The sequence below is a fragment of the Homo sapiens genome, chromosome 6, assembly GCF_000001405.40.
Source record: "Homo sapiens chromosome 6, GRCh38.p14 Primary Assembly".
NCBI classification, from domain to species: Eukaryota; Metazoa; Chordata; class Mammalia; order Primates; family Hominidae; genus Homo; species Homo sapiens.
In genome coordinates, this window is record NC_000006.12 from 73381753 (window position 1) to 73394243 (window position 12491).

The 12491-nt window shown below is 44.8% G+C and overlaps 1 protein-coding gene, 1 long non-coding RNA gene, 1 other non-coding gene and 1 pseudogene across 5 annotated transcripts in view; 1 reads left to right on the forward strand and 3 right to left on the reverse strand.

The window, feature by feature from the left end:
* Positions 1-5965, forward strand: part of OOEP-AS1 (OOEP antisense RNA 1) — an 18014-nt gene extending 12049 nt beyond the window's left edge. Inside the window, exon 2 of the long non-coding RNA NR_174946.1 lies at positions 5885-5965. This is a non-coding gene — a long non-coding RNA (OOEP antisense RNA 1). The remainder of the gene's footprint in view (positions 1-5884) is intronic.
* OOEP (oocyte expressed protein) overlaps positions 1-12491 on the reverse strand; it is a 26609-nt gene that overhangs the window by 13198 nt on the left and 920 nt on the right. The window contains exon 2 of one of the 3 annotated variants that reach the window (NR_190285.1): positions 6656-8399. The exons of 1 other annotated variant lie outside the window; for it this stretch is intronic. The gene's annotated coding sequence lies outside the window, so the exon portion shown is untranslated. Of the gene's footprint in view, positions 1-6655; positions 8400-11179; positions 11349-12491 lie in introns of those variants that run through there. One more of the 3 variants, NR_190286.1, reaches the window with a different exon arrangement.
* RPS6P8 (ribosomal protein S6 pseudogene 8) lies at positions 9286-10015 on the reverse strand (annotated as a pseudogene).
* LOC124901538 (small nucleolar RNA U13) lies at positions 12161-12261 on the reverse strand. The gene has a single exon (XR_007059969.1). It is a non-coding gene; the product is annotated as a small nucleolar RNA U13 (small nucleolar RNA).

Consider the following 12491-nt stretch of genomic DNA (forward strand, 5'->3'; position numbering starts at 1 on the left):
GGTGGATCACTTGAAGTCAGGAGTTCGAGACCAGCCTGGCCGACATGGCGAAACCCATGTCTACTAAAAAGGCAAAAATTAGCCGGGAGTGGTGGCACCGTGCCTGTAAACCCAGCTACTTGGGAGGCTGAGGCTGGAGAATCACTTGAACCCGGGAGGCAGAGGTTGCAGTGAACTGAGACTGTGCCACTGTATTCCAGCCTGGGTGATACAGTGAGACTCTGTCTCAAAAACAAAACAAAACAAACAAAAAACAAAGGATTGTAACTTTGGGTTTTTGTTTTTGTTTTTCTTTTTGGTTTGTTTTATTTTTGAGATAGGGATTTGCTCTGTCACTCAGGCTGCAGTGCAGTGGTGTGATCATGGCTCACTGCAGCCTTAACCTCCCAGGCTCAAGTGATCCCCCCGCCTCAGCCTCCCTAGTACCTGCGACCACAGGCATGCACTACCACACCTGGCTAATTTTTTTTTTTTTTTTTTTTTGAGATGGAGTCTCGCTGTGTTGCCCAGGCTGGAGTGTAGTGGCGTGATCTCAGCTCACCACAACCTCCGCCTCCTGGGTTCAAGTGATTCTCCTGCCTCAGCCTCCTGAGTAGCGGGGATTACAGGCACGTGCCACCATGCCCAGCTAATTTTTGTATTTTCAGTAGAGATGGGGTTTCACTATCTTGGCCAGGCTGGTCTCGAACTCCTGACCTCGTGATCCACCTGCCTCAGCCTCCCAAAGTGCTGGGATTATAAGCATGAGCCACTGTGCCTGGCCACACCTGGCTAATTTTTAAATTTTTTGTAGAGAGCGGGTCTCACCATGTTGTCCAGACTGGTTTCAAACTCCTGGGCTCAAATGATCCTCCTGCCCCAGCCTTCCAAAGTGTGAGGATTATAGGCATGAGTCACCACGCCCAGCCTACTATGTTTGTTTATTGTAGCTAGGACTACAGGCATGCACCACCATGCCCTGCTAATTTTTACTTTTATTTTTATAGAGATGGGATCTCACTATGTTGCCCAGGCTAGGCTTGAACTCCTGGCCTCAAGCAATCCTCCTGGCTCAGCCTCCCAAAGTGTGGTGAGCCAATATGCTCAGTGGTTTTTAACTTTTTTTTTTTTTTTTTTTTTTGAGACAGAGTCTGACTCTGTCACCCAGGGTTGGGTGCAGTGGCACAATCTCAGCTCACCGCAGCCTCCACCTCCCAGGCTCAGCCTTCCAAGTAACTGGAACTACAGGCATGCGCCACCATGCACGTCTAATTTTTGTATTTTTTTTATAGAGATGGGGTTTCCCCCTGTTGGCCAGGTTGGTCTCAACTCCTGGCCTCAAGGGATCTGCCCACCTGGGCCTCCCGAAGTGCTGGGATTACATGTGTGAGCCACCACACCTGGCTGTAAATCTGAAGTAGAAGAAACCATCTATACAAGCAGTTCGCCTAAAAGATTTCTTAGGGCCGGTAACACTAAGGGAATTGTAGAAACTGATTCTAGTTTCTTGATCAAGTAGTTGGCAAAATCATCCAGGAGCCAGGAGACATAGCCTTATTTAGTGTGGGCTAACAACAGGGAAAATGACCAGGAAGGAAGAACAAACTAAAATCAATGCAGGGGCCGGGCACAGTGGCCAGCACTTTGTAATCCCAGCACTTTGGTAGGCCGAGGTGGGTGGATCACTTGAGGTCAGGAGTTTGAGACCAGCCTGGTCAATATGGTGAAACCCCATCTCTACTAAAAATACAAAATTAGCTGGGTGTGGTGGCACATGCCTGTAGTCTCAGCTGCTCAGAAGGCTGAGGCAGGAGAATAACTTGAACCTGGGAGGCGGAGGTTGCAGTGAGCCGAGATTGCGCCACTGCACTCCAGCCTGGGTAACAGAGCAAGACTCCATCTCAGAATAAAATAAAATCAATGCAATCAGTGCAAGAAGGAAGTAATAAAGATTAGAGTAAAAATTATGTAGAAAATAGAGAAAAATCAAAACTGGGTTCTTTAAAAAGATAAAACTGACAAGTATTTAGATAGAATAACCAAGGAAAAAAGACTCAAATTACTAAGATCAGAAATGAATGTAAGAGCCTGGTGCAGTGGGTCACACCTGTAATCACACTTTGGGAGGCTGAGGCAGGCAGATCACTTGAGCCCAGGAATTCAAGACCAGCCTGAGCAACATAATGAAACCCCATCTCTACAAAAAATACAACAATTAGCCAGGTGTGGTGGCACATGCCTGTAATCCCAGCTACTTCAGAGGCTGAGGCAGGAGGATCACTTGAGCCAAGGAGGTCAAGGCTGCAGTGAGCCAAAATCATGACAGTGCCCTCCAGCCCAGGCAACAGAGTGAGACCCTGTCTCTAAATAAATAAATATAATAAAAATAAAAAATGAATGAATGGAGGACCAGATATAAAAAGGATTATAAGGTAATACTACAGAACAACTATATGACATAAATTAGATAACCTAGATGGAATGAATAAGTTCCTAGAAAAACATAAACTACTCAGAATAAATAGAAAATCTGAATAAACCTGTCATAAGAGATTGAATTAGTAATGACAACATTTCCGACAAAGAAAAGCTCAAGCCCAGATGGCTTTACTGATGAATCCAACCAAGTATTTAAAGGAGAACTAATGTCAATCTTTCAAACTCTTCCAAAAAACAGAAGATGAAAGAACACTTCCCAGCTAATTATATCAGCATCACCTTAATACCATAACCACAGACATCACAAGAAAAGAAACAACTACAGACCAATATTCCTGAGTAATAAAGATGCAAAAATCTTAAATAAAAAATGAGCAAACTTGGTTGGGCATGGTGGCTCATGCTGGTAATCTCAGCCATTTAGGAGCCCTAGGTGGGAGGATCACTTGAACCCAGGAGTTCCAGGTATTGAGCCATGATTGTGCCACTGCACTCCATCACTTGAAGTCCTGGGCTCAAGTGATCAGCCTGCCTCAACCTCCCAGCATAGGCAACAAGACAAACAAACCTTTTTTTTTTTTTTTGAGATGGAGTCTTGCTCTGTCAACCAGGCTGAAGTGCAGTGGCACAATCTCGGCTCACTGCAACCTGTGCCTCCCGGGTTCAAGTGATTCTCCTGTCTCAACCTCCTGAGTAGCTGGGATTACAGGCACGTGCCACCACGTCTGGGTAATTTTTGTATTTTTAGTAGAGACGGGGTTTTATCATGTTGCCCAGTCTGCTCTTGAACTCCTGACCTCAGGTGATCCACTCGCCTTGGCCTCCCAAAGTGCTGGGATTACAGGTGTAGCCACCACACCCAGCCTCAAACCTGTCTTAAAAAAGGCAAATGGAGGCTGGGCGTGGTGGCTCACGCCTGTAATCCCAGCACTTTGGGAGGCCAAGGTGGGCAGATCACTAGGTCAGGAGATTGAGACCATCCTGGCTAACATGGTGAAACCCCGTCTCTACTAAAAATACAAAAAAATTAGCCGGGTGTGGTGGCGGGTGCCTGTAGTCCCAGCTACTTGGGAGGCCGAGGCAGGAAAATGGCGTGAACCCGGGAGAGGAGCTTGCAGTGAGCCAAGATTGCGCCACTGCACTCCAGCCTGGGCGACAGAGCAAGACTCCATCTCAAACAACAACAACAAAAAAGACAAATGGAATTCAGCATTATTAAAAAAAAAATTATATACCATGATTAAGGGGATTTATCCCAGGAATGCAAGGCTGGATTAAATCAAAAGTCAATTAATATGCCATATTAATAGAATAAAGGACAACAACTACATGAACATTTCAAGAGATGCAGCAAATGCATTTTACAAAATCAACACCTACTACTAGGAATACAAAGTCTCTTCCCCAGCCTAAATAAAAGCTCTCTTTTTTTTTTTTTTCGGAGTCTCACTCTATTGACTAGGCTGGAGTGCAGTGGCGTGGTCTTGGCTCACTGCAACCTCCACGTTCTGAGTTCAAGCGATTCTCCTATCTCAGCCTCCTGAGTAGCTGGGATTATAGGCGCCTGCCACCACGCCCGGCTAGTTTTTTGTATTTTTGGTAGAGACGGGTTTCACCATGTTGGCCAGGCTGGTCTTGAACTACTGACCTGGTGATCTACCCACCTTGGCCTCCCAAAGTGCTGGGATTATGGGCGTGAGCCACTGTGCCCGGCCAAAAGCTATTTTCAAAAAGCCCACAGCTAACATTATATAAGATACTTAATGGTAAAAAGACTGAATTCCTTCCCCTGAAAGATCAGGAAGAGGGCAAAGATACCTACTTTCACTTTTATTCAACATTGTACTGGAGGTTCTAGCCAGTGCAATCAGGCAAGAAATAGAAGGCATGCATATTAAAGAATACCAACAACATGCTTTTCTTTTTTTTTTTTTTTTTCCTGAGACAGAGTTTCGCTCTTGTTGCCCAGGCTGGAGTGCAATGGCGCGATGTTGGCTCACTGCAACCTCTGCCTCCCGGGTTCAAGCGATTCTCCTGCCCCAGCGGCCTGAGTAGCGGGGATTACAGGCATGTGCCACCATGTCCAGCTAGTTTTGTATTTTTAGTAGAGACGGGGTTTCTCCATGTTGATCAGGCTGTTCTCGAACTCCCAACCTCAGGTGATCTGCCTGCCTTGGCCTCCCAAAGTGCTGGGATTACAGGCATGAGCCCCCAGACCGGGCCAACAACATGCTTTTCTATGTAGGAAATCCTAAGGAATCCACCAAAAAATAAACAAACAAATAGAATGAATGAGTTCAGTAAGGTTGCAGAATACAAAATCAATATACACAAAGTCTAAATACTTTTACAAGTTTAGTAAGTGTATAATTTGAAAACTACAAAACCTTGATGAAAGAATTAAAGATGTAAATAAATGGAGAGTTATTTCATTCATGGACTAGAAGACTCAGAAGATGAATTTAGACCCTTACCTCACGACATACACAAAAATTAACTTGAAAAAGAACTGCAGCCGGGCGCGGTGGCTCATGCCTGTAATCCCAGCACTTTTGGAGGCCAAGGCGGGTGGATCACCTGAGGTCATGAGTTCAGGACCAGCATGGCCAACGTGGTGAAACCCTGTCTCTATTAAAAATACAAAAAAATTAGCCAGGCATGGTGGCAGGCGCCTGTAATCCCAGCTACTCGGGATGCTGAGGCAGGAGAATCACTTGAACCCGGGAGGCGGAGGTTGCAGTGAGCCGAGATCATGCCATTGCAGTCCAGCCTGAGCCACAAGAGTTAAGGGCAAAATTCCATCTCAGAAAAAAAAAAAAAAAAAAAAAAAAAAGAACAGCAGAGCTCAATGAAAGGGCTAAAACCAAAACTCTTAGCAGAAAACAGAAAAGTAAACCCTTCATGCTCACGGCTTAAAATATCTTTGTTTATATATGTATATATATACATATATGTATATTTTAAACAATGTAAAATGCAAAAGTGGTTTTAAAAATTAGTAAGTCAGAGTCCATCAAAATTCAAAACTTTGGAAGTATTAAGAAAGCAAAAATAACCACCAGGCATGGTGGCTCACACCTGTAATCCCAGCACTTTGGGAGGCCGAGGTGGGTGGATAACTTGAGGTCAGGAGTTTGAGACCAGTGTGGCCAACATGGTGAAACCCAGTCTCTACCAAAAATACAAGAAAAAAATTAGCCGGGTGTGGTGGCAGGTGCCTTTAATCCCGGCTACTTGGGAAGCCAAGGCAGGAGAATCGCTTGAACATGGGAGGCGGAGGTTGCAGTGAGCCGAGATAGCACCACTGCACTCCAGCCTGAGTGACAAGAGCAAAACTCCATCTCAAAAACAAAATAAAATAATATAAAAATAAAATCAGTGCTGGATTAATGTGAGTATTCATGTTTATATAATTATTTATTCTATTGATTGATTGATTGAGACGGAGTCTCACTCTGTCTCCCAGGCTGGAGTGTAGTGGCGTGGTGTTGGCTCACTGCAACCTCCACCTCCTGGGTTCAAATGATTCTCCTGCCTCAGCCTCCCGAGTAGCTGGGACTACAGGTACGTGCCACCAAGCCTGGCTAATTTTTTGTATTAATGTTTATATAATTTGAGGGTAAAAACAGACCCTTCTAAATCATGGCTCCAAAGGCTGCCACCATAAGGGAACGATGATAGTTCTGACAACATTAGAATTTTATTTTACTTATTCTGAGACAGGGTCTTGCTCTGTTGCCCATGCTGGAGTGCAGTAGCGCAATCTGGGCTGACCTGCAACTTCCGCCTCCTGTGTTCCAGCGATTCTCATGCCTCAGTGCCTCAGCCATCCGATTACCTGGGACGACAGGCATGCGGCACCACACCAAGCTAATTTTTGTATTTTCAGTAGAGACAGATTTCGCCATGTTGGCCAGGCTGGTGCCAAACTCCTGATCTCAGGTGATCTGTCCGCCTCGGCCTCCCAAAGTGCTGGGATTACAGGCGTGAGACACCGCACTGGGCCTGACAACAATGGAATTAAAATTTCTTTTCGTGAGAAAAAAAATCCTTATGCCTCCCCCTCCCCCAAAGTGAAATGAAAATACAAATTATAAACAGCGAAGAATGTATAACAAAAAATTATATGTCTAACAACATGGATGTTTATTATAAAATTTAAGGGGAAAAGTCAGAGTGCAAAATTGAATAGTAAAATCTCAAAAGTTTGCCTAGAAGAAAACTCAGAAGGACCAAATTTATCTCTGGGTAATACTTTTATTTTTATTTTTCCAAATGTATGCAGTGAACACGTTAATTCTAAGATCATCTTAAAGCCAAAGTTATTTATCCTAATGCCAGTAACCGTAGCTTTTTTCTTGAAAAAGGGATGGCAGCTGGAGGCTGGAATCCCCTTCCTCCTGGGAACTGCACCCATGGGTTCCTGAGAGGCAAAGTGGCAGAACAGAAAATGCTCAGCTTTGGCATCACCTCCACTTGGGTTCCCAAGTACTGGGCTCCTCTGACTTCGGTTTCTTCATCGTGAAATGGGGATACCCACATCCATCTCACAGGAGTTTTCTAAGAATTAAATGAGTCTGGCAGGTTGTAAGTGCCCAGTATAAGATATTGCCACCTTCTCTAGTCCAGGTGGTAAGTGAAAACTTAAGGAGCGGATTTTCCAAAATCAGCGCCTGCTGCTCCGAGAGCCAAGGGTGCGGTGTTTGCTGCCTCCTTGTGGGAGAGTGTGGCTCCTTGCCTGGCGGAGTCGGAGGAATAAGTTCTCGGAGGGTAGAGGGACCGTTCCTTCTCCTAGCTCCGCCAAACCCACATTGGGGGTACTCGCTCAGGGATCCCGCAGCGGTGCAAATGCGAAGCCGCGACGCGAGCTGGAACCTGGGGCGGTGCTCTGGCGCGTCGCTATCCAGGGGAGCTACGTCGAGACGGCAGGCCACTTAGCACCAATGCAGACCCGGGAGCTTTGAGGAAGCCAGAGGCTTCGGACAGAAGAAACCGCCTGGCAGGCGGAGGAGAAAGGCCAGGGCTTCCCTCCTGAGGTTGAGGCTTGCCGGAGGGAAATGGCACCGAGGACCTGGGGCGACTGATTCAGCTTCTACCCCAGGAGCAGAAGTCCCCGCCCTACTCCGGAACTGGCGGTCAACTCCCTCAGGTCACACCCGAGGCAAAAATGCAAGCTTGTGGAAATTTTCTGCCTTCAGGTCAAAATTGGGCGTGAACTCCACCTTTTTATCTTTTTTTTTGGTGGGGAAAAGTAGGTGGTAGAACGAACTTGAAAGGCCCGCAGGCATATCCAATTTCTACTTGCTTAGTGAATGGTTTTCTAACCAAGTTGGGATTTAGGATAATAGATTCCACCGCTTTTTATCGCAAAAGGCTTAGGCTTAGGCTGTCACAGGTCTAAAAAAGCAACTCATTTTGCTCTATGTTGTGAAAAAATTTAAAATAACAGAACTCATAGGTGGGAATTGAACAATGAGAACACATGGACACAGGAAGGGGAACATCACACACCGGGGACTGTTGTGGGGTGGGGGGAGGGGGGAAGGGATAGCATTAGGAGATATACCTAATGTTAAATGACGAGTTAATGGGTGCAGCACACCAACATGGCACATGTATACATATGTAACAAACCTGCACGTTGTGCACATGTACCATAAAACTTAAAGTATAATAATAAATAAAATACAGAACTAAAAATATTCGTGTTACCTGGAATTACCGTTTTAGATATCTTTCCTCACCACGTGAGAACACAGTATCAAAATGTTAAATCCGCCGGGCGCAGATCACTTGAGGCCAGGAGTTAGAGACCAGCCTGGTTGGCATAGTGAAACCCGGTCTCTACTGAAACTACAAAAATTAGCCAGGTGTGTGGCGCACCTGTGGTCCCAGCAGCTCAGGAAGCTGAGGGAGGAGAATCACTTGAATCCGGGAGGCAGAGGTTGTGCTGAGCCCAGATCCCGCCACTGCACTCCAGCCTGGCCCACAGGGAAAGAAAAAAAGAAATAAGAAAAAAAAGTTATTTACTAATCCACTGCCCAAACTCAAGGACATAGCTGATCCAATTAAAAACAAAACAAAAATGAAAAGCTTGACAGACACAAAATTCCCTTTTTAGACTTTATCTTTTAGAACAATTTTAGGTTCACAGCAAGTATTGTCGTCTCTTGGGATTTTGGGGGTATTGGTCCCAGGCCCTCCAAAGATACTTAATACCAGGGTTGCTCAAATTCTTTACGTAAAATGGCATAGTATTTGCATATAACCTATGCAGAGCTTCCCTTATACTTTAAATCATCTCTGGATTACCTGTAATACCTAATACTAGGTAAATAGTTATTCTACTTTATTATTTTGCTTTTTTTGTTTTATTTTTATGAGGTTTGATCTTATTTGTTACCCAAAAACTTTTTTTTTTTTTTTTTGAGACGGAGTTTCGTTCTTGTCGCCTGGAGTGTGATGGTGCGATCTCGGGTCACTGCAACCTCCGCCTCCCAGGTTCAGGCAATTCTCCTGCCTCAGCCTCTCACGTAGCTGGAGCTATAAGCATGCACCACCATGCCCAGCTAATTTTTTTTTTCTTTTTTTTTCTTTTTTTTGTATTTTTAGTAGAGAGGGGGGTATCGCCATGTTGGCCAGGCTGGTCTCGAACTCCTGACCTCAGGTAATCTGCCTGCCTTGGCCTCCCAAAGTGCTGGGATTACAGGCGTGAGCCACTGTGCCTTAAAGTATAATAATAATAATAAAAATAAATAAATAAATAAAATACAGAACTAAAAATATTCGTGTTACCTGGAATTACCATCTTAGATATCTTTCCTCACCACGTGAGAACACAGTATCAAAATGTTAAATCCGCCGGGCTTATTTTTGGCTGGACTCAGAAGCTCTCAGAGAGGACAGTCTGTGTCTCTTGGCAATTTGTTCCTGGTGTTTTTCTTTGGCTTCCTTTATTCTCTTGTCCAAAAGTTTAGTATATTCTGTGGCCTCTTCCTTATTTTTTTTAGTAGGTTGTTTCTTCAGAGCAATAAGCCAGGTGTTTGTGTTGCGGGACATGAGGAGTAACAACACACTGAGTCTTGGGTGCTTTGGCCCTGTGTGTCTTATCTTTGTTATAACAAAGAGCTTTCTTATAACATATTGGTGGACATCATCTTTTTAGAGAAATTGAAGTTTTTGGATTCTGCTAGCTCTTTTGGGTCCCGGGGGATGAGGCAGTATATTATCAGGCAGTTCAGGATTAGCCTTCTCTCTCTAACAATAACTGAGTTGAGAATACTCAGATTGGCATCCACAATACAACCTTGAACAGATTTGTGCATTCTTTCTTCAGTTCTCCTTGGAGGAGAGGAATACCCCTTACTCAGTAGCAGGCAGACACAGTCTTGGGTCAAAATACCCTGCTTCATGAGGAAGCCTCGTCTGTTGTCCCCACCACTGATTCCGACCACATAACCCTTCTATTCTTCACCTAGAGCATCAGCATCAACATCTGTGACTATAGCTTCTCAGAAAAAGTATGACATTTGCAATCCTCATCCACTTCAAAGAGATTCTGGCAGCCAGAGGCTGGGAAGGAGACATTCAGCTTCATGTTGAAGCAGCTGATTGTCTCTGAGGCACCATGAAAAGGAGAGGTTTTTATAAGTGTTGTTTATCAAGAGAAACTATTTCTTAGCCCACATATTCCCATTTCTTAGTTCACGAACACAGGTCAGTGACAAGCACCTGAGGTTTCTTCAAAGCACTGGAAGCCATTGTTTATGAGTCATGGTTATTGTCTTTGATGGGTATGTCCTTCCTGGCTGTTGAAAGTTCCTAGTTTACGTGAAGGTTCACTCTCAGTGTTAGAATAATTTTGGCCTCATAGAATGAGTTAGGAAGTATCCCTCTGCTTCTACTTTCTGGAAGAGATTCTATGAGGCCAGCATTACCCTAATACTAAAACCAGTCAAAGACATTACAAGAAAAGTACAGACCAGTATTTCTGACTAACATAGATGCAAAAATCCTTAATAAAATCTCAGCACGTTGAATCCAACAAAATTCCTTTCTAAAGATTGTTAATACTACCCATTTCAGATTAAAGATTAGAGAATGGAGATTAAATGCCTATCATTTATTTAATGTTTTTTTATCTTTTTTTTGAGATGGAATTTCACTCTTGTTGCCCAGGCTGGAGTGCAATGGCGCAATCTTGGCTCACTGCCAACTTCTGCCTCCCAGGTTCAAGCAATTCTCTCACCTCAGCTTCTCAAGTAGCTGGGATTACAGACATTCGCCACCATGCCTGGCTAATTTTTTGTATTTAGTAGAGATGGGGTTTCACCACGTTGGTCAGGCTGGTCTTGAACTCCTGACCTCAGATGATCTACCCACCTCAACCTCCCAAGGTGCTGAGATTACAGGTGTGAGCCACCGCGCCTGGCCTATTTCCTAGGTAATCTTTTTTTTTTTTTTTTTTTTTTTTTTTTTGAGATGGAGTCTCTCGCTCTGTCATCAGGCTGAAGTGCAGTGGCACAATCTTGGCTCACTGCAACCTCTGCCTCCCGGGTTCAAGCAATTATTCTGCCTCAGCCTCCCAAGTAGCTGGGACTACAGGCGCACACCACCACGCCCAGCTAATTTTTGTATTTTTAGTAGAGATGGGGTTTTACCATGTTGGCCAGGATGGTCTCGATCTCTTGACCTTGTGATCCAGCCGCCTCTGCCTCCCAAAGTGCTGGGATTACAGGCATGAGCCACCACATCCAGCCAATATTTTTTGCATTTTTATTAGAGATGGGGTTTCACCATGTTGACCAGGCTGGTCACGAGCTCCAGACCTCAAGTGATCTGCCTGCCTCACATTCCCAAGGTGCTGGGATTACAGCCATGAGCCACACCATGCCTGGCCTGGTGTCCACTGTGTTTGATGGATGATTGAACTGAAAAAAAAAAAATTTTTTTTTTTTGAGACAGGGTCTCTGCTCTGTTGCCCAGACTGGAGTGCAGTGACACCATTTCGGCACTTCGGCTCACTGTAGCCTCAACCTCCCTGGCTCAGTGATCCTCCCACCTCAGCCTCCTGAGTAGCTGGGACTACAGCCTGTACCACCACACCCGGCAGGGTCTCACTATGTTACCCAGACTGATGTTGAACCTTGGGGCTCAAGAGATCCTCCGCCTAGGCCTCCTAAAGTGTTGAGATTACAGGTATGAGTTATCCCTGCTGGCCTAAACTGAAATTTGTTCAGATAATTCAAAGATCCTAATCAAAGGAGTGCACTTGCAGCTGGCTTGAAGCCCTGGAGTAGTAGTATGTCCAGCCACAGAGCCAGGCTGCAGTGACGGTAATGCTTCAGGAATCTATTCAATTTATTTCCTTAGCTCTAAAATTATGGCAGGCCAGGCACTGTGGCTCATACCTGTAATCCCTCAACTGTGTGAGGCCAAGGCAGGAGGAGTTGGATACCAGCCCGGGCAACATAGGGAGGTCTTGTCTTTACAAAATAATTAGCCTGGCATGGTGGTGCACACCTGTAGTCCCAACTATTCGGGAGGCTGTGGTGGGAGTATCACTTGAGTCCAACAGGTCGAATCTGCAGTGAGTGATCGCACCACTGCACTCCAGCCTAGGCGACAGAGGTCAAAAACAAAACAAAAGAAAACAAACAAAAAAAACATAGCAAACATCCAGAAGACTGTGTAGAGCAATGAATGTCTCTCAAGCCAGTGATCTTTTTCTCTTCATTTTTCACATCAGGTGGGTAGTGTGCCCACTTCGTAACAAGGTTTGAGGGAGGCACATTTGACACAAGAGCATGAAAACCCAATCACACTTATGACTTACAAAAGGATCAAGTCAGTGATCTTTAAGCTGTGGGCCATTAAATACATTTTGTGAGCCGAGTGCAGTGGCTCAGGCCTGTAACCCCAGCACTATGGGAGGTGGAGGTGGGAGGATCACTTGAGTCCAGGAGTTCAAGACCAGCCTTGGGCAACATACTGGGAACTCCCATCTCTATTAAATTTTTTTTTTTTAATTTTGTGGATTACAACCATTTCAAAAACTAAAATAAGCGTAAATG